Source organism: Homo sapiens, chromosome 11 (assembly GCF_000001405.40).
Source record: "Homo sapiens chromosome 11, GRCh38.p14 Primary Assembly".
NCBI classification, from domain to species: domain Eukaryota; kingdom Metazoa; phylum Chordata; class Mammalia; order Primates; family Hominidae; genus Homo; species Homo sapiens.
The window spans coordinates 5,785,108-5,806,842 of record NC_000011.10 but is presented as its reverse complement, the minus strand read 5'-3'; the positions used below and the strand labels follow the sequence as shown (position 1 = coordinate 5,806,842).

At 35.5% G+C, this 21,735-nt stretch overlaps 1 protein-coding gene and 1 pseudogene across 1 annotated transcript; one reads left to right on the top strand and one right to left on the bottom strand.

Moving 5' to 3' along the window:
* OR52N3P (olfactory receptor family 52 subfamily N member 3 pseudogene) lies at nucleotides 5,522-6,479 on the bottom strand (annotated as a pseudogene).
* Nucleotides 15,578-20,372, top strand: OR52N1 (olfactory receptor family 52 subfamily N member 1). The gene is made up of 2 exons (NM_001001913.2): nucleotides 15,578-15,732; nucleotides 17,983-20,372. Exon 2 carries the CDS (start codon nucleotides 18,027-18,029, stop codon nucleotides 18,987-18,989), a length of 963 nt encoding a protein of 320 aa, NP_001001913.1. The 5' UTR covers nucleotides 15,578-15,732; nucleotides 17,983-18,026; the 3' UTR covers nucleotides 18,990-20,372.
* Nucleotides 20,373-21,735: the final 1,363 nt, after the last annotated feature.

The window sequence follows — 21,735 nt, the reverse complement described above, 5'->3', positions numbered from 1 at the left end:
GTCTTCTATCTTCCTATTACCCTAGTAAGTCCAAACTACCTCCCAAAACAATCTACTGCCAACATTCCTACATACTTGGTTTATCTTCCACTTTCTCTTCCCTCAGAACTCAAAATTTTCCGGTACAGGTGCCACCCCTAAAGTTCCCAGTATATTGACACCAGCCTGAGGAGCTGGCCTAGTGCTTCAAACCACTGAAACTGCAGTCCAAACAGCAAGAAAAGATGGACCCATCATACCCGAGTCAAGAAAGCACCACCATCCCCAAAGTCATGGACCATTATTCAAGGGAAAAAACCCCTCAAACTAAAGTTAAGGAAAGTTTAACTCTCTTTTATCTATTCTATTACCCTTTCTTCTTTCCTCATTCTATTGCTGACCTTATTATCAATGTAACTAAGTCAGACTCATCCCAAATCATTACCTTTGAGGCTTGCCTTGTTATGCCTTGTGAAGAGGACGAACAATGGCAAAGGTATGTCTCTCCTTTAGAAAAACACCTCTGCCCCTTCAGAGAAACCACTGACCTCACACCTTGCTCATGGTGGGGGTACCAAGGCACCTTAAGTTAGGAGATACGTTCTCAATGAGCAGATGTCATCCTGACTGCCAATGAACACGGCGAGACCTCCCCAGAAGGCTGTACCAACCTAAAATCTTACCTCCTCCTTACCAAATGAACCACCCCCTCTAATTGCCAACTTTACCATTGTAACCCAGTAACTATCTCTATTAATGCTGCTACCTCTACCAACCATACGCTTCCTTTAGAAGGCTTTTACGGCTTAGGGGCAGAGGCCAATGGATACGACCCTGTAGGCCTCTTTAAAATACGCTTTATTGACCCTCCTTCACCTTCTAAACTTTCTACCCTGCCCAACAACAATGCCAAAGTAAATATTGTAGAAGTGAAGGATCTAAGACAAACTCTAGCAATTGAAACAAGGTATCAAGATATAAATGCTTAGTTGGGATGGATTCAATATTCTGTCCGCACTTTGAATAAAAGCAATTGTTATTCTTGTGTGCACAGCAGACCAGAGGCCCAGATTGTCTCCTTTCCGCTAGGATAGTCCCTCAGTCGACCAGACATGGGCTGTATAGTAGCTGTTTTCCAAGATTCCACAGCCTAAGGCAACAAATCATGCCAAGCTCTCTCTCTGCTATATCCTGAAGTCCAACACCCTGGAGGTCAGCCCCCGAGGGCCATTCAGCTTCCACCTCCTGACGTCAATTTCACCTCATGTCTCTCACAACATGGGGAGAACTTGGCATTCCTTGGAAGCTTAACACGTTGCAGCAAGCTTAGGCCCTTCCAAGAGCTTACCCATCAGTCTGCCCTTAGTCATCCTTCAGAGGATAGATGGTGGTGTTGCAGTACACCCTTAACGGACACTCTGCCAAGTAATGGGAGCGGCACTTGTGCTTTTGTCCAGTTGGCTATCCCTTTCACTGTAGAATTTCATCAACCAGAAAAAGAAAAACCACAACACTGAAAAATAAGAGAAGCCCCTTATAAGTCTTTTAACTCTCAAGTTTACATAGATGCCATTAGTGTCCCACGAGGAGTGCCTGACAGGTTCAAAGCCCGAGACCAAATAGCTGCAGAATTTGAATCCATATTTCCACAAGTAACTATTAATAAAAATGTAGCTTAGATAAATTACATCCATTATAATCAGCAGCAGTTTATTAATTACACCAGGGATGCCATCAAAGGAATAGCTGACCAATTAAAGCCTACTAACCAAAGAGCTTAAGAAAACAGAATAGCACTAGACATGTTATTAGCCAAAAAGGTGAGGTTTGTGTTATGATTAAAACCCAATGTTTTACCTTAATCCCAAACAACACTGCCCCCGATAGGAGCATAAAAAAGGCCTTACAAAGACTTACCACTTTATCCAATAAACTAGCTAAAAATTCTAGTCACTGACCCTATTTCAGGATGGCTAAGAAAGTAGTTCAGTAAACGGAAAAGAATCATAGCCTTAATTCTTATTTCTCTTGCAATTGTAATAAGTGTACTCTTTCTTGTTAGGTGTTATGTCATACCACGCATCCATAGGCTAATACAAAGGACTGTACAAACAGCACTTACTAAAGCCTCCCTTAGTTCTCCTCCACCTTATTCAAGTAAGCTTTTCCTTTTAGAAGATCAAATCGAATGGCAAAGCCAAGACATGTTAAAAACGTTTGAAGAGAAAGAATCATAAGAAAATTAAAAGGGGGGAATTGTAAGATACAATGAATTTCTCTGAGTTCCTCTTCAAAGATTTAGCCTGCTAACTTCCTTGTCTTTTGTTCTCAAACTCAACTTTCCTGTTCCCCCTTGTCCCTAGTTACTGTAAAACAGCCTACCTGCTTCCCATCAGCTCTAATCAATAACTCACGTCTGTTCCCTTAGTTATCTGCACCCACTGTTCCCCCGAAACTGCACATCTCACAGGCCTCACCACTGTACCTCAAGTCCCCCTTCCCTTCCATATTTAGAAAGATATCTGCAAGTAACAAATCAGGTTAGCTCAGACTGTGCGGTCTGACCCCGGCCCATGGGGGAGTGACACAGAAGTAGAAACTACCATTAGAGAGAGAACTTCGCTGCTCTCCTTTGTTCCCTGTGCTCTTGTGATCTTGATTGATGTGAGTGGCACCCTTCTGCAGAAGTAAATTGCCTTGCTAAGATAACTTTTGCCTGAGTGCGGGTTTCACTTTGTGGCACCGAGCATTTATTCCCAGAATATTTTTATACCCAACAACAAGCTATATCTATAGTTTTTTTTAATTTAAGGGAAAGCACATTTGTCATTAATTTGAAAGAGACAGAACTCAGGGAAAGAGTGAGATAAGATATTAGTTATATTTTTGGCTTAATTTTGCCAGTTTAGTAAAACACGAAACATAACTGTTAGTAGAGATTTGTGAGCAGAAGCAGTTCCTGTGGAATATTTGCTGTATTTTGTGTCCTCCCACCTGTATTGTTATTTTGCTCCATTTTCTTTATCTCTGCACATGTGGCCCATCTGAAATGATTGACCAAGTGGTTCTGGAGATTCTGTAAAAACAAGATAATCTTCCTTATACTTTGTATCACTTTGTCATTTTCTTTTTCTTCCTTTCCTTTGGGAATATTAATATATCTCTTAGAGTTTGAAAAGGAAACATGGTTTAACAAATTGAAATCTCAATGTGAGTTCTTTGATACCTTGGTTCTAGATCTAATGTAACTGTGTGAAGTTGATGTAGAAATATTGGGGTCTGTTTCAGAAAGCCTGCTGATCTCTGCCACCCAACACTTGGTCTCTAGGGCACAAGATGCAACTTAAAATAAAATGTTTTCCACTATCTTTCCCAGTCCTCTTGGTTTCCCCCTGCTTCCCTTTTATTTCCTTCCCTCTTCCCTATCTGTCTGTCTGTCTCTCTCTCCCATCTCTCTCTATCTCTATCATCTCTGTCTCTATCTCTATCTTTATCTCTATCTCCATCTCTATCTCTATGTCTACCTCTATCTATCTCTCTGTCTCTTCTCCCATGAATACTAAGTAGAATTTTGTTCTATGGCCATCAAACTTATACTTCTTTTTGAAATTTCTCAAAGATATTGCCCTGCTGGCTGTAATTCAATTTTGAGTCTTAGTTTTCAGAGTCTTTTTTCTTTTCATGAAACATACTTTTGAATTTGTAATGATGAAGATAACAAAATTAATTTGCGATTGTTACTCATTGCCTCAAATACATCTTATTTATTGCATTTTACTTATCCAGATTTTAAGGATATATTCTTGTTTTACTTTGTTGCTCTTGCTGTTGTTTCTTCCCCCAACCCCAGCATAGGTCTATTAACATTATTGTTTTCAAATTTTAATTGTAATATTCTAAGATTCATCCAGTCTTTCCACTTGTGTACCTTATATTCTTCATTTATGTAATGCAGACAATTATACCTATCTCATAGTTTTGAAGTAAAAGTTTGGTGAAATAATAAATATGAAACATTATTATAATATTAGACCATGTATATGTTTTAAAACAACAATTTAGGAAAAGTAATTTATTGATCTGTTTGGTAGTGTTTTGAATGGCTTAAATGAAGTTACCTGATAAACAAACTTTACCAAATGAAAAAACCTAATTCTGAGATATAAAAACTTTACTATTGATAAGCTTATGATTTACATTACATAGAGACACTTCATAATTTTAGCTTTTTTAAAAAATAAAACTCAGGTTTTACTCCCAGATATGAAAATCTTATTGCAAAAATATATGGTGTGATTAATCTATTTTACTATTTTGCTATTTGACTATATATAACATGATATTAAAATATATCATTTATATTAGCAAATAAGAATATAATTTTCATCAATATAACATCTTGACCTGCTTATCCATTTATATTTATTTTGTGATCACAGTCTATTACTTCAATTTTCTCTTGGATTATGTTCTTAATATTTTTCTCACGTTTAATTCAATCTTGCTATTACTAAATACATTTATCCTTCTAATACTACCATGCACTTTATCTCTGCTATTTCCAGAAATCTAAATAAAGTATAGTGTTCCCACAGTATTCATGAGGGAGTGGTTACAGGACACGACCCATAATAAAATCTGTGGATGATCAAGTCCTTTATATAAAATGGTGTGGTGTTTTTATATAACCTACACACATCCTTTTGTGTATTTTAAATCATTTCTAGATTACTTATGATACCTAATGCAATGTGAATTCTATGTAAACAGTTGTTATATTGTATTATTTGTTTCTATCATTTTTATGGTTGTATTATTTTTTTCCAAGTATTTTTGATCTGCAGCTGGTTGAATCCCAGGGTGCAGAACCCACATATAAGGAGGGCCAACTGTACTACTTTCTCCATTGTCCTTGACCACTCTGCTGCTTCTCCATCTACATGAAACTCAGATCAGTCAGTCAAGCCCAGACATCTTTGATTGGCAAAGTATATAGATTTCTTCAAGTCTTCTTTCCTCTACATCTCTCCTGTCCTCAAACAACTCTCAAGTAGTATCCATTGAATCTTTCAAAATTGTTCTTGACATTAACTGCAAAGAGTATTTCCCCAATCGTTATCACTCTAGTAACCACATTTATTGCAGCTTCATTTTTGTGTGCACTGGAGCATTCATATAAATCCAAATACTTACCCAGGCAGCAGGATGTCAGAGATAAATGAGCAGGCAAAGATGTTTTTCTCTAAAGTTATACAAGTTTCACATAAATATAGACTAGAAAGGATAACAGGACATTTGAGATTCAGTCCATTCGACAGGTCTAACTAAAGTTAAGTTTTGTAAAATGTATAATTATGTCTTGTCTATTTTATGTCTTTTATCACATTGAAGTCTTGAATTAAACATTTTGTGATTATTTAATAAAATTTATGGCAGAATATTCACATTTTTTCCTGAGTTCATAGTTTTTGAATCTTACATTTATTCTCTTCCTCTATAACTTTATCTTTATGCTGATTCAGACTTCTATATCATAGATTTATGTCATACTTAAAATACCTTTCTCTCTAAAAAACAATTTGATCACTCCTTCACGGATCTGCTTGGTCTTCACTCCATAGACAATTGGATTTAAGGTGGGAGGCAGCATCAGGTAAAGGTTGGCTATAAAAATGTGAACATGATGAGGTATGGTGTGTCCCCCAAAGCGGTGAGTGAAGAAGTTGAAAAAGGCTGGGACATAAGTGATGAAAATAGCACATATATGTGCTGTACAGGTACTGAAGGCTTTGTGGCAGCATCTGCAGATGACAAATTCACTACAGCACGGATAATCATGGTGTAAGACATGGAGATACAGAACATGTCAAACCCCCCAATCAATATGGCAGCTATGAGACCATAGATGGCATTAATCTGGACATTACCACAGGATAATTTGGCCACAGACATATGTTAAAATAGGTGTGGTGGATGAGGTTGCCCCTGCAATAGGGAAGACACTTGATCAGGAAAGCAAATGGAATCATAAGCAACACACTTTGAATGAAGGTGACAAGCCCAACTTTGGTAATTACAGTGTTGGTGAAGATGGTGGAATAGTGTAGAGGGTAGCAAATGGCCACATAGCGGTCTAGAGCCATAAGCATGAGCGCCCCAGACTCCATGCCTGTCAGCATGTGGATGAAAAACATCTGCACAAGGCAGGCATTAAAGTCAATTTCCTTGAGGCCAAACCAAAAAATACATAACATATTGGGAACAAATGAGGTGCATCCAGTAACATCTGTAAGAGACAGCAAGTCTAGGAAGTAGTAGGTGGGTTGGTGCAGGGCCTCCTCATGGCTAATGAGGTATATAAGTCCACAGTTCCCCAAAACAACAATGATGTACATGAAGCAGAAAGGCAGGGAGATCCAGATGTGTGCAGCTTCCAGCCCAGGAACGCCACTGAGAATGAAATATCTTGGTGTCAGGCTGGAGCTGTTGGCTCCATTCATGATGCTCACCAATTACAAAACATGCTAGTTTTTGTGCCAATAAAGTTGTCCTGTATAAGGAGAGAGTAGTGAGATTATTTTCATCCAGAGAAAAAAATATAAAAACGCATTTTTCACAATCTAAATAATAAATTTAGGAAAAAATAATCATTTTGTATCCAAACTATGTTTTTTGATTCTATTGAATGGTCCTATGACTGTAACTGAACCAACAGAATAAAAACATATTGTAAACATAGTGCCAAAGCCCTGGCCTGGCTTGGTTTTCTACTGGAAACTCTGTTTATATGTGTCTGCTTACATTCCTGGGCCATTTAGTAATGCTTGACTTTGCAACCTCAACCAATTTCCAAATTATAAACTCTATTTAAGTAACATTGATTTTCTTAATTCACTACAAACTATCCCTTCTTTCAAGAAATACTTTGAGATGTGTCCACTGGGTTATAGTTAATCAAATTATGTCAGCACCTACCAATTATGCACTTCTATTATGATTCAGCTTGATCTATATACAAGTGTAAACCTGGCAGGTCTGGATTTTCCAAGTCAGAAAAATCAAGGACAGAGATGGGAAGGGCCAAAAAGGTACATAATAAGTTACAATTTATAAATCATGGCCATGTGTATTTTGTATTCGTCTCTTTTTGTATTCTTTCAGGTTTCTTGATGGTAAGCATGAAATATTTTTGAAATGTTTGCATTTAGCTAATAACATTATTAAGCTCTACGTAATTTTCATGCTTTTTGTTAACTCTCCTCAAATCTCTATGTTGATAAGCATGATATATATAAGCATGATACATATGATAAATCCATGATATATATCACTCTTTAAGTGTGCTTACATATACTATTAATATACAGTACATGTATTACCTATGATCATAATTTTATACCTTCTTTTGATGTATCATTTTTAGCCCCCAAATAACTATAGACAATTATATTGGGTAGGATAAAATCTTTACTAATTTTTTAGTCCAGTTTTTGAGAATGGTTAGCTTTCCATCTTTCTTCTGAAGTCTGAAACATGAATCTAACCTTGTAAGCTTTTCTGATTAAAGTGAGACTCCATAGTCTTACCTTTTGTTTCTTTCCTTCTTTCTTTCTTTCTTTCATTCTTTTTAAAAATATTTCCCCAGTTATTGGTTGCTTTAGATTACCAAATTGAATTATTCATTTTTCCATATCATTGCAGTTTAACAAATTATTTTATATTATCTTCTGTTATATGTTAATCTCCTTCTTCAAAGTTCTAATTTTGATTGCTTCTCTCTCTCTCTCTCTTTCTCTGTGTGTGTGTGTGTGTGTGTGTGTGTGTGTGTGTGTGTCCGTCTGTCTCTATCGCTGTGATGGGATTTAACCTAGAGTTTTCTACAGAGTTTTTTTTAACCATTAATCAGTGGAAATCTTTTCAAGTGTTGCTGTATAAATAATCTCAGTATATAAAAAAGATAAAAGTAAAACCTTCTAGAAAACAATAAAAAATAGAACTGATTATTTTTAAAGCATTTTGCTTTAAGGCAAAATACTTTTAATGTTAAGTAAAGTAAACCATGTAATTTTTCAGCACAACCTGGAACATAATAAGAAAAATACGTAATACTATCACAATTATTGTTAGTATTATTATCATTATATCGCTCTACAAAATAAGTGAAAATAAAATTATATCCAGCCATCCCTTAAAACCTCCTGGATACTTCCGTCTTACTCAGAGCAAACACCAACATCCTTATATTTGTTTACAAAATCCTACACAATTAGGGCTCTTTTAAATATCTGAATGTATCTCCCAGTATTCTAATTCTCATTCTCTCAGTCCATCCATACCTACTGAAGTTTTCTCAAGCTTAACAAACATGTACAATTAAAGATATTTCTACTTGCAGTATCAATGCCTGCTATGTTCATCCCAAGCTGTATAATGAACGGATGGATGAATAAATTCTAAAATCTCCTTTTTGGATGGTTCTCCTGCTTATACATAAATACCTTAACAAATTAGTGTCACAATAAACTTTGAAAAATAAAAACGTATTAGGAAGACATGATTTCAAGTTTCAAGATGTCCTTAATCTTATCTACAAAAATTAAAAATTAATGAAATCGGAGATATTTAGAATTGGGAAGAGTACATGTAGTAGATGCATGCAAATTGTCTTTTGTATTATTTTGCATATCCCCAAAATAAACATATTATAAATAGAAAAATGTTACAGAAATGTAAATTTGGCTTTGAGGAATGTTGCCCATTCACACAGATAAAATTTTCTAATAAGATAATGGGATCACTGCCATCTGAGGTATCAAGCAGTGGGAAAACGGCATATGTCATTAATGTCGTCAAGAACTTGGGCTACATGATCACTAGAATTTCTTCCAAGTGTTCTTTTTTTTAACTTTTAAGTTCAGGGATACAAGTGCAGGTTTGTTCCATAGTTAAATTTTTGTCATGGGGGTTTGTTGTGGAGATTATTTCATCACTCAGGTAATAAGTCTAGTACCCATTAGTTATTTTTTCTGATCTTTTCCGTCTTCCCACCCTCCATCCTAACTCTTACACTAATTCATTTTCAATGGTAGAGATGTTACTGCTTCCTGAGGAATACTCTTCCATCTATGGAGGGCAGAGAAGTTTTTCTATTATTGTATAGAAATATGCTTGCCTATATCTCTTTGGTCCTTGTCACATCAGCCTCATGGAATCCCCTTCCTTCAGGACCTAAACTACATTTAATTTTCTCCCTCTTCTCCCTCCTCAAGGCAATTTGCAAATTCCTTGGTTTCAAAATTCTAAAGAGTGAAGTAATTCAGAACTTCCTTATTCAACTGCTCTCTCATTTAAATCCCTCCTATATAGTAGCAATTTTGTGCATTTTATATATTTGTTTTCTTTTTATCTGAACCATTTTCATCCAAACTCACCCTGGTGCCAGATGTTTTTAAATTCCCATTCATGACTGATATTACTTAGAAATAATTGCACAATATTGATGAGGAACCCTATGTAACAAACTTAATATCTTCTCTGGGGATTTTCCAAGCCAAGGTAAAAAAATTCTTTGGGGCTTTACAGATAGATGTCCCATAGGTCTCTGAAAAGGAGGTGAATTTACCTTTGTTGAAAATAGATCTATAATTAGAATATGTCTATGCCTGACAGAAAAAAATCTCAAATTTTATTATTGATGGGACATGTGAAGTGTCTAGCATCTATTGAATCATAAACCTGGAATTTTACCTGACTCCCTAGGGCAGTTCCATTCCAGTTTCATAACATTTTATATATTTATTCATGTGCCATGTGGGTATTTTAAAGCTTTCTCAAAAATATTGAGTAAACAATTTCAGAATGTTTTATGCTAGGGGCTCATTAAAATATATATTCTGCAATAAGGCTGAGTTATGTCTTTATTTGAAAGGTTAACACTGTTAAATGCACTGTCTCTCCATCACTGTTCCCCTTTACTTCAGTAGAAATATAGCATTCTTTTCTGTTGCAATCCCCGTTAGTACATCTTGATCAAGTTTAAGGAAACATCAAAGGCTGGGATTGAAATTATCCTCAAAGTAGACAGATGTCTGGAAAGGAATCAAAGAACATCGTGACCACAATTTAATACCTTGGGTTTGTAGAATGAATGCAGTCTATGGAGAGGAGAAAACGGTAAACAGTAATATGATGTAATGGCACATCTTTCTTCTAGCACAAGCAGCTACGATGGACAGAATCCCCACAAATGTAGGTCCTTTTTTCTTTTTCAGTGAGCCAGCTCGCTTACCGAAACACATAAAATAAGCTCTATGCCATAGAGCTTCAGCCCAGAGTGAGTCTTCAATTATTAACAATATGGTGGTGTGTAGCTTTATTCCAGAGCAGATAGCTAATAAATGAAAAACATAGATGTCAGCTTTCCTTTTAAAACTTGCTGAGTTACAATATTAATAGCATTTTTAAAATAATACTTAAATAAATAGTAAGCTATCAGATGCTAGGTAATGCTTCAAGTCCTAGACTCTGCTACAAAGTTCCTCAAGTCAGAAAATCTTTGAAAAATATCCTTACTTCGGTTTTTTTTTTTGCTTTTTGTTTGTTTTCTGAATTAAAACTGTATTAAGCAGGTATATCTGCTTATAAATGCTATGCATATATAATAATATACTTATGAATAGGTGTGAGAAATTAAAATGAAGTCTATTTATCTGGTTATAATACAGGCATACCTTAGACATAGCACAGATTTGGTTTCAGACCACTGCAATAACGTGAGTCACATGAATTTTGGGTTTCTCAGTGCACATAAAATGTATGTTTACACTATACCATGGTCTATTAAGTATACAATAGCATTATGCCTAAAAAATATATAGACCTTTTTAAAAATATGCTATTGCTAAAAAACGCTAGCGATTATCTGAGCCTTCCGTGAGCCATAATCTTTTTGCTGGTGGAGAGTCTTTGACTGCTGTTGACTACTTAGGGTGGTGGTTGCTGAAGTTTGGAGTGATTGTGGCAATTTCTTAAAATAGGACAATAAATGTTGCCCCATTGATTGACTTTTACTTTCATGAAAGATTTGCCTGTGGTATGTAATGCTATTTGATAGCATTTTACCCACAGTGAAGCAGCTTTCAGAGTTAATCCTCTCAAACCATACTACTGCTTTCTCAACTAAATCCAGGTAATATTCAAAATCCTTTGTTGTCATTTCAACGATGTTCACAACATCTTCACCAAGAGTAGATTCCATCTCAAGGAACCATTTTCTTTGCTCATCCACAAAAATCAACTCCACATTATTCATGTTTTATCATGAGATTGCAGCAATTCAGTCACATTATCAGGTTTCGTTTTCAATTCTATTTCTTTTGCTATTTACATCACATCTTTAGTGATTTCCTCCAGTAAAGTCTTGACTCCATCGAAGCCATTTATAAGGGTTAGAACTAACTTATTTCTAACCCCTATTAATGTTGATATTTTGACCTCATCCCATGAATTATAAATGTTGTTAATGGTATCTAATATGGTGAATCCTTTCTAGAAGGTTTTCAATTGACTTTACACATGCACATCAGAACAATTACCATCTATGGCAGCTATAGTCTTACAAAATGTATTTCTTAAATAAATAAGACTTGAAAGTCACAATTGCTTCTTGTTCCATGTGCTGCAGAATGGATGTTGTATGAGCAGCCTTGAAAATAAATTAATCTCCCTGTACATTTCCATTACAGCTCTTGAGTTGCCAGGCACATTGTCAATGAGCAGGAATATTTTGAAAGGAATCCATTTTTCTTGAGCAGTAGGTTTCAACAGTGGGCTTAAAATATTCAATAAACCATGCTCTAAACGTATGTACTGTCATCCAGGCTTTGATGTTCTATATAGAGAGCAAAGACAACATAGAGTTAGAATAATTATTAAGGGCCCTAGGATTTGGGGATTGGTAAATGAGCATTGGTTTCAACTTAAAGTCACCAGCTGCATTAGCCCCTAACAAGATAGTCAGCCTGTTCTTTGAAGTTTTGAAGACAGACATTGACTTATCCTCTCTATGATGACATGCTCTTCCAAAAGAAGGCTGTTTCAGCCAGACACGGTGGCTCATGCCTGTAATCCCAGCATTTTGGGAGGCCAAGGTGAGTGGATCACTTGCGGTCAGGAGTTTGAGACCAGTCTAGCCAACATGGTGAAACCCTGTCTCTATTAAAAACACAAAAAGTTAGCCAGACGTGGCAAGGGAGCCTGTAATCCTAGCTACTTGGGAGGCTGAGGCAGGAGAATCACTTGAACCGGGGAGGCAGAGGTTGCAGTGAGCCAAGATCGGGCCACTGCCCTCCAGCCTGGGTGACAATGGTGAAACTCTGTCTCAAAATAAATAAATAAATAAATAAATAAATATATATATATATATATATATATATATAGAGAGAGAGAGAGAGAGAGAGAGAGAGAGAGAGAGAAGGCTGTTTCATCTACATTGAAAATCTGTTGTTTAGTGAATCCATTTTTATCAATGATCGTGGGATCTTCTGGATAACTTGCTGCAGGTTCTACATCAACACTTGCACTTGCGTGTTATGGAGATGGCTTCTTTCCCTCATGAACCAACTTCTGCTAACTTAAACTTTTCTTCTGCAACATCCTTACATTTATCAGGCTTAAAAGAATTAAAATAGTTGATGCCTTGCTCTAGATTAGGTTTTGGCTTAAGGGAATATCGTGGCTGGTTTGGTCTAGACCACTTAAACTTTCTTTATATCAGCCATTAGGCTGTTTTGCTTTCTTGTCATTTATGTGTTCATTGCAGTATCCCTTTAATTTCCTTCAATAACTTTTCTTTTGCATTCACAACTTGGATAACTGTTTGGCATAAGAGGACTGGCTTTTGGTCTATCTCAGCTTTTGTCATGCCTTTCTTACTAAGTTTAATCATTTATATATATATTTTTTAATTTAAATTGAGAGGTATGTGACTCTTCCTTTCACTATACACTTAGTGACCATTGCAGGGTCATTTATTGGCCTAATTTCAATATTGTTGTGCCTGAAGGAATAGGGGGGCCCAAGAAGAGGGAGAGAGACAGGAGAGTGGCTGGCCAGTGTAGCAATGAGAATACATACAACATTTATAAATTAAGTTTGCCATCCTATGAGTGCAGTTTGTGGAATCTCAAATTGATCTATAGGTTCAATATTGTCTTCACAAAAATCCAAGACAGCTTTTTGTAGAAATTACACAATTAATTCTAAATTATCTATGGAAATGCAAAGGACAAAGGATATCCAAAGAATCTTTTTAAAGAAGGACCTAATTGACAGTGCTTACACTAATTTAAAAATGTATTATAATGCTATGACAATCAATAAAATATAGTAACAGTATAAAATTAGAAATATAAGTACCACCAAATCTAAAATAAAAGTTAAAAAAGAGAAATTGAAGATGACATAAATAAATGGAATGATATCTCGTGTTCATGGACTGGAAGAATTAATATTCTTAAAATGTCTATAAAGCCCAAAGCAATCTGCAGATTCAATGCAATCTCTATAAAAATTCCAATGTCATTCTTCACAGAAATGGAAAAAAATCTTAAAATTTCTATGGAACTATAAAAGACCTTAATTAGTCAAAGCAATATTGACCAAAAAGAATAAAGCTGGAGACACCACACTACAGAATTTCAAAATATATTGCAAAGCTATAGTAATCAGAACAGCATGGTACTGGCATAAAAACAGATACATTGACCAATGGAATGGGCTAGAGATCCCAGAAGCAAACCACACATTTAAAAAGAAAAGGACCTGTCTTCAATAAATGGTATTGGGAAAAATTGATATCCACATACAGAAAATATAAATGAACCCTTAGCTTGTCTCTTATACAAGAATCAACTCAAAATAAATTAAAGATTCAAATATAAAACTTGAAACATTAAATTAATAAAAGAAAACATAGGAGAAAAGCTCCATGACATTGGTTTGGGCAAAGATTTAATGACTGTGACCCCAAAAGCACCAGGCAACAAAAGCAAAAATAAACAATTGAGATTGGATTATATTAAAATGCTTCTGTATAGCCAAAAATACCAATAGAGAGATAACTTCTCAGATTGAAAAAAAATTTGCAAATCATATGCTGGATAAGGACTAATATCCAAAATAAACAAGGAATTCAAACTACTCAATTGCCAAAAAAAAAACCCTATAAAAAGTAGAGAAAGGACTTGAATAAAAATGTCTCAAAAGAAGACATACAAGTGGCCAAAAAGTATGTGAGGAAATGCTCAACATCACTAATCTTTAGAGAACTGCAAATTAAAACCATAATAAGACATTACCTCACACCTGTTACATTGGCTATTATCAAAAGGATGAAAGATAAGAGCTGTTGATGAAAATGTTGAGAAAAGTGAACCATTATACACTCTTGTTGGGAATTTAAATTAGTATAGTTCTTTTAGAAAACAGTATAGAGGTTCCTCAAAAAATCAAACACGGAATTACCATATGATCCAGCAGTCTCACTGGGTATATGCTCAAAGAAATTGAAATCAATATGTTAATGAGATGTCTGCAACCTCGTGTTCATTGCAGTATTATTTGCAATAGTCAAAATGTGTCCATCAATGAATGAATGGGTTTAAAAATATGGAATATGTACACAATGGAATACTATTTGGCCTTAAAAAATTCAGAAAATTCTGTCACAAGCAACAACATAGATGAACCTAGAGGGCATTGTTAAGTGAAATATATTATTTTTTATTATGGCATAGCTATGCTTCTGCACTGTACCATTAGTCTAGGTCTTTATATAATCATTTGGAACTAAGTTTCATTACCCTCAGTAGGCATCATTATACCCAGTCCTTAGTAATGAAGCAAAGATATTCATTATTGCTACTCTTGGTAAACATTGCATAGAAGGAAGATCTTAACCAGTGCAATAAGGCAAGAAAAAATCATACAAATAGGAAAGAAAGAAGCAAATTACTCATTTTTCACAGAGTGAAAAATATGTCTAGATAATTCCAAATCATGTTCATAAAAATGTTATAAATAATAAGCAAATATATTGGAGACATGAAATAAAAGTTCACATATACAACTCAATTGTTTGCATACCGGCATTATTTAAGTTTTCTTTAAAAACATCTTTTTCAGTACTAATTTTGTGCATGACATTGTGCTAAGTTTTGAAAAAAGAGGCAGGTGTGCCTCTCAAAAGGATTTAATTATGATACTCCAAGTGGTTTCAGACATATGTATCTCTGCTGTACCTGTAAAAAATTATGTCCCCAGGAGTCCCAGACTATAATGACGTCAAAATAGTTCTGAAGACTGCTCCCACTGGCTTAGCCAGTATCCTTAGGACCCAGATATACCTGATTCTTAATTCTCTTTTGTTCATATTCTAAACATACACACATACACAAATGCATTCACCGGGGAAATCACTTCTCTTCTGAGACTACAGTAGAGACAATAACAACCAAGTGTTTTCCATTACTCAACTTCAGAATATAAAACATCCACAACATACACACATGCATGCATGCACGTACACACACATATGGACAGATAATAGAAATGTTCCCTCCTCCACTTGCCTCCCAAGGTCTCAATGTAGGTATTATATTTCTCCTTCAGGACCAAGAGGATCATATAGACATAAATATGACTTGATCCATGGATAGGTCTTCAGTTTCTTGAGGAACTCCGGTAGTTTTCAGGGTAAGCAGATTTACTTTTGTTTAAGCTTTTATTTTAAGTTCAGGCTTACATGTGCAGGATTTGGAAGTTTGTTACATAAGTTAATATGTGTCATGGAGGTTTGTTGTACAGATTATTTCATCACCCAGGTATTAGGCCTAGTATCCATTAGATATTTTTCCTGATTCTCTCCCTCCTATGGGAGTTATGCACAGCAAAAGAAACTATCAACAGAGTAAACAGACAGCCTACAGGATAGGAGAACATTTTTGCAAACTATGTATCTGACAAAGGTCTAATATCCAGATCTTTAAGGAACTTAAATTTAGAAGAAAAAAACAACCTATTAAAAAGTAGGAAAGGGATATGAACAGACACATCTCAGAAGAAAACACGTATGTGGCCAACAATCATATGAGAAAAAGCTCAACATCACTGATCATTAGGGTGAGCAGATTTCTGAACTGAGATTTCTTTATTCTTATTAAAGGGATGGGTGCAGATTACAGTAGCTGAGAAATGAGGATGAGTAAGAGAGTTGTCAGAAGAGTTATTCTCCTAGCTTTTAAAATGGTGCAGCAGACAAACTGGCTTGTATGTTCCATTTTCACTTTGGATAAAATATTCACATTTCAATTACTGAAACAATCTTTGCAGGAAGTATTCTATTTATTCCCTCTGGCTGTGAAAGCTAAAAGCAGCATTTCTGAGAGAAAAGAATTTTTTCTGTGATCTGAAAAAAAGAGAGATGACAGCCTCATTCCATACTTTTCTGTGTTTTGTCTTCTTTTCAGTGAGTTGCCTCTATTTCACATGATAGTAATGTTATTTGAATTATATCTCAATTAGAAAAGTGACAAGAGTTCATTTATACAGCCCTAATATTTCATAAAATAAGGACATAAAAATTTTATAAAAGACACATATGAAAATAGGATAGCCAGTTTTATACAACCTTAAATTTTCAATAGTGACATCCCTGAAGTGACAGGTGGGTCACCTCCAATATGTCAAGGAGGAACTATAAATATCAATATTGATATTTTTAAATTAGAAAGCCTACTTAGTTTTCCTCCAATATCCTTCTATATGGGATATGCCCCCATCACACAACTTGCTCCTTTTAAAAAATTTTAATCAACACATTCCGGCTGATATAGCCCACTTCTTCAGACCCGTGAAGCCTATTTTCATCTATTCTGTGGTCATAACTTTGAGTTTGTTCTTATTTTCTCACAGCACACTATCACACCAAATATTCTCTCCCTTACTATTCAGAAGTGTTTTGTTGGTCCTTGTTCTACCACTGCCTGTTCTTCTGTGGGCCTTGAAAAACGTATTGAACATCTTCTGTATACAAAAGAAACTTAGTTTTGGAGATTACATAGCCTCAAAAATATTTGATAAAAATATTCTTTATTTTAAGCCTCAAAAATATTTGATTCTATGGCTGAAGTTTTGATATGGGTAGAATATAAAGCACTATGTTCTAAAGGGAATGTCAATTTATTTTGTTTAAGATGATAAGCATCTTTATTTTCACTGAATTGACTCTAGAGTCAATTAGACTAGACTGTAATCTTAGGAAAACATTGGATTCTCATAAGTTCTTGCATTTTTAATGATCCTTCATCCTCTATATATCATGGTACTTATAAAACAAGTGGTCTTTTGCTGATATTAGAAAGTGGATTATTATTATTATTATTTATTTGCCTCTAAGATCATTCTATGATTTCGCTTCAAGAAAACTACAGCTACAAGGGGATGATTCATATTTTTCTGTATTTAGGTTTTCTGCAAACCAAAAGGGTGGAGTTTGGGCTAAAACTAGATTGAAAATATTGTCAGTATGTCCATTAGGACAGATTTAATTTGAAAGGTAAGCCCACAGGAACTAATGAAGTCTGTTAACATTTCAGAATACAACGGAGATCTCTAAGATGGTGAGCACCTAGAATAGAGCAAATATTTAATCAATTCTTGACCACAGAGTTGTTCAGTTCATGGCCAACGTTGGCCTGGAGAATGGACTACATGATAACAAAGACCCCAGATATTCAGGTCCAAATGTACTGACTAGACTCAGTTTTTCCTGTCAACACCTAATGCTTAAGGCACACACCCAGACAGTGTATATATCACATATTAAACATAATAGAACAAATATAGTCATTGATCTACAAGGAAAACAAAATAGCCATTATGGGAAAGAAGACTGATGGTCAGTCACTCCTTGAAATTACTCTTTTTTTTATTTCCTGCTCACAGAGGCAATGCTATAACTGCTATACAATGAACTTCCAACAGTCATTATGTCATTTCTAAATGGCACCAGCCTAACTCCAGCTTCATTCATCCTAAATGGCATCCCTGGTTTGGAAGATGTGCATTTGTGGATCTCCTTCCCACTGTGTACCATGTACAGCATTGCTATTACAGGGAACTTCGGCCTTATGTACCTCATCTACTGTGATGAGGCCTTACACAGACCTATGTATGTCTTCCTTGCCCTTCTTTCCTTCACAGATGTGCTCATGTGCACCAGCACCCTTCCCAACACTCTCTTCATATTGTGGTTTAATCTCAAGGAGATTGATTTTAAAGCCTGCCTCGCCCAGATGTTCTTTGTGCACACCTTCACAGGGATGGAGTCTGGGGTGCTCATGCTCATGGCCCTGGACCACTGTGTGGCCATCTGCTTCCCTCTGCGTTATGCCACCATCCTCACTAATTCAGTCATTGCTAAAGCTGGGTTCCTCACTTTTCTTAGGGGTGTGATGCTTGTTATCCCTTCCACTTTCCTCACCAAGCGCCTTCCATACTGCAAGGGCAACGTCATACCCCACACCTACTGTGACCACATGTCTGTGGCCAAGATATCTTGTGGTAATGTCAGGGTTAACGCCATCTATGGTTTGATAGTTGCCCTGCTGATTGGGGGCTTTGATATCCTGTGCATTACAATCTCCTACACTATGATTCTTCAAGCAGTTGTGAGTCTATCATCAGCAGATGCTCGACAGAAGGCCTTCAGCACCTGCACTGCCCACTTCTGTGCCATAGTCCTCACCTATGTTCCAGCCTTCTTTACCTTCTTTACACACCATTTTGGGGGACACACCATTCCTCTACACATACATATTATTATGGCTAATCTCTACCTACTAATGCCTCCCACAATGAACCCTATTGTGTATGGGGTGAAAACCAGGCAGGTACGAGAAAGTGTCATTAGGTTCTTTCTTAAGGGAAAGGACAATTCTCATAACTTTTAAAGTCTTCTGAGATGTTAGAATTTTCTTAGCCAGGTTGAGATCACCAAGTCAATAGGGAGCTCTTTAAATGACACCAGAAATCTGGCCACAGGAATATTTTTATGATACTCGGATTACTCTACATCTTTGGAAAGGGTACCATCATGTTCAAATAGGTAAATACCCTCTCTTATGTTATTCCATGTTCTTTAAAGCCTTTTTACTATAGAGGACTTCGAAGTTCACTGCATTTAATCTTCACAGACATCATCTTCTCTCCTAAATGACAGTCTACACAAATTTGCAGCACAGTGGTTGGATCACTAACACTGGAGTGAAACTTTTTAAAAAATTTAAATCTCTGGCAAAACATGAGCCGTGTTCATTTATGTCTGTCCTAACTTACTTAGCTCATCATTTTCCTGCCAAAATCACTTAGAGTTTATTCTGCTTCTATCCCAAGTTTGCCAGCTGTATATCTATCCAGTAGCAACCCATACATATGTTAACCAGAAAACTTCTAAAGTTGTAAATTGAAGCATGCCTGTAATACCCAGAAGCTGGCAATCACACCAATGTCCATCAACATTAGACAACATAAATAAATAATTGTGGTCTATTCAAATATAGTATTAGGTGAAAGAGATAAAAACACATATTATATATTGTCATTGATGTACAGTTCAGAAGTAGGCCAAACTAACTGAGATAATGTTTAACTTTGAGAATGAGAAACCAGGTAATGAGGGGGATGCTTCTGAGGTACCACCGTTGATTAGTTCTTGACCTGGATGGTAGTTGCAGGGTGTATCAACTTAGTGATATTTCATGAGCCTATTATTTGTAATATCTGCTCTTTTTGCCTGTGTACTATGCTTCAACATTTTTATTTAAAATAATATGTCTTGAGCACATACTCTCACCTCCCTAAGCTGTGAGACATTTCTTTCTTGCTTCCTATGAAAACTGTCTATAGTTTACAAAGTATATATACTTTCTTTTCTTTCAGAAGTATGTTAACTTTAGCATAAATAATATGTGCATATTTATACAAATCATAATAAAACAACAAAGACAACATCATCATAAAAAAATTAAACTTTCCTTTTGAAAATGTCCTCCATCTAGTCCCTTTTTAGTGATGGCCTCTTAAAAATATTGTTTGTGTAGCAAAGACTTGGAACCAACCCAAATGTTCAACAATGATAGACTGGATAAAGAAAATGTGGCACATATACACCATGGAATACTATGCAGCCATAAAAAAGGATGAGCTCATGTCCTTTGTAGGGACATGGATGAAGCTGGAAACCATCATTCTCAGCAAACTATCGCAAGGACAAAAAACCAAACACTGCATGTTCTCACTCATAGGTGGGAATTGAACAATGAGAACACTTGGACACAGGAAGGGGAACATCACACACCGGGGCCTGTTGTGGGGTGGGGGGAGGGGGGAGGGATAGCATTAGGAGATATACCTAATGTTAAATGACGAGTTAATGGGTGCAGCACACCAACATGGCACATGTATACATATGTAACAAACCTGCACGTTGTGCACATGTACCTCAGAACTTAAAGTATAATAAAAAAAATATAAAAATATATATATATTGTTTGTGTATGTGTATGTTTTTGTTGTTCTTCTTTTTGGTGGTTATGTCTTTTACTCCAAGCTATGTTTAAACTTTAATAGATTACCAACTACTCTGTTACACACAGTGAGGATTTAATTTAATACCTGTATCTATATCTGTCACCTGCCCTTTCCCTCAAAATATTTTATGTGTAAATGTGTATGTATATAATCACACACACACATATAAAACATCAATGTTATATCTTTAATTTTCTGTTACAAGATAATTACCACCTTGCATTAATTCTGGAAATCTTTTTGATTTGTTTATAGTTTGGTTGCAATAACGGAAAACTAATAAATACTATTTGAATTACTATAATTATATAAATAATTTTATGAGTGTTGAATGTGAATGCTAATCACTTTACAGCAAAGTAGGGATTATATTTTCTTCTTCATTAGTTCAGTATCATCATCTTCATTATTCTTGAAGTATGTTTCCAGTATCAATATTTTTTCAGAGACTTCTGAGAATATTTTGGACCAATCAAAAAAGGAAAGGAGTTATAGACAATTAGAAAATAACATTTATAACAGAGAAGAAGGAATGATAGCAAAAATATCCAAGAAAAGAAATATAAAGTTGTGAAAATCTCACAAAAAGGACACGAAAAAGGCAAGGCAATGTAAAACATAAAAGTAATGATATAGATCATCTCCTCAGGATGTCAAATGTCTGACTTTATGATTGCTATTAAAAGAGAAAACTGCTAAAGCAAAGAATAATTTATCCCAACCACTATGAAATAATTTTTAAGAACCAAATTCAAAATGTGATTTTTAAGAAATACCAAGAAATGCCAAAATACCTAGAAGAATTGTTGATAGAAGACTCAAACCCGGACATACAACTGTGAGAATATGTGACCTACTTTTTATGCAAATTTCAATATACAATGCATTATTATTAACTCTAGTCACCATACTGCACATTATGTCTTTATAATGTACTCATTTGATAACTGTAAGCTTATATTTTTTGGCCACCATCTCTTCATTTCCCTCACCCCCTAACATGCTTCTAATCTGTTTCCACCCTTCTCTCTGTTTCTATGAATTTGGCTTTTTAAAAATTCTACATGTAAGTGAGATAATGAAGTATTTATCTTTCTATGCCTGGCT

Coding starts and splice junctions, on each gene's coding strand:
- OR52N1 (NM_001001913.2), top strand. CDS start 18,027: ATGTCATTTCTAAATGGCACCAGCCTAACTCCAGCTTCATTCATCCTA.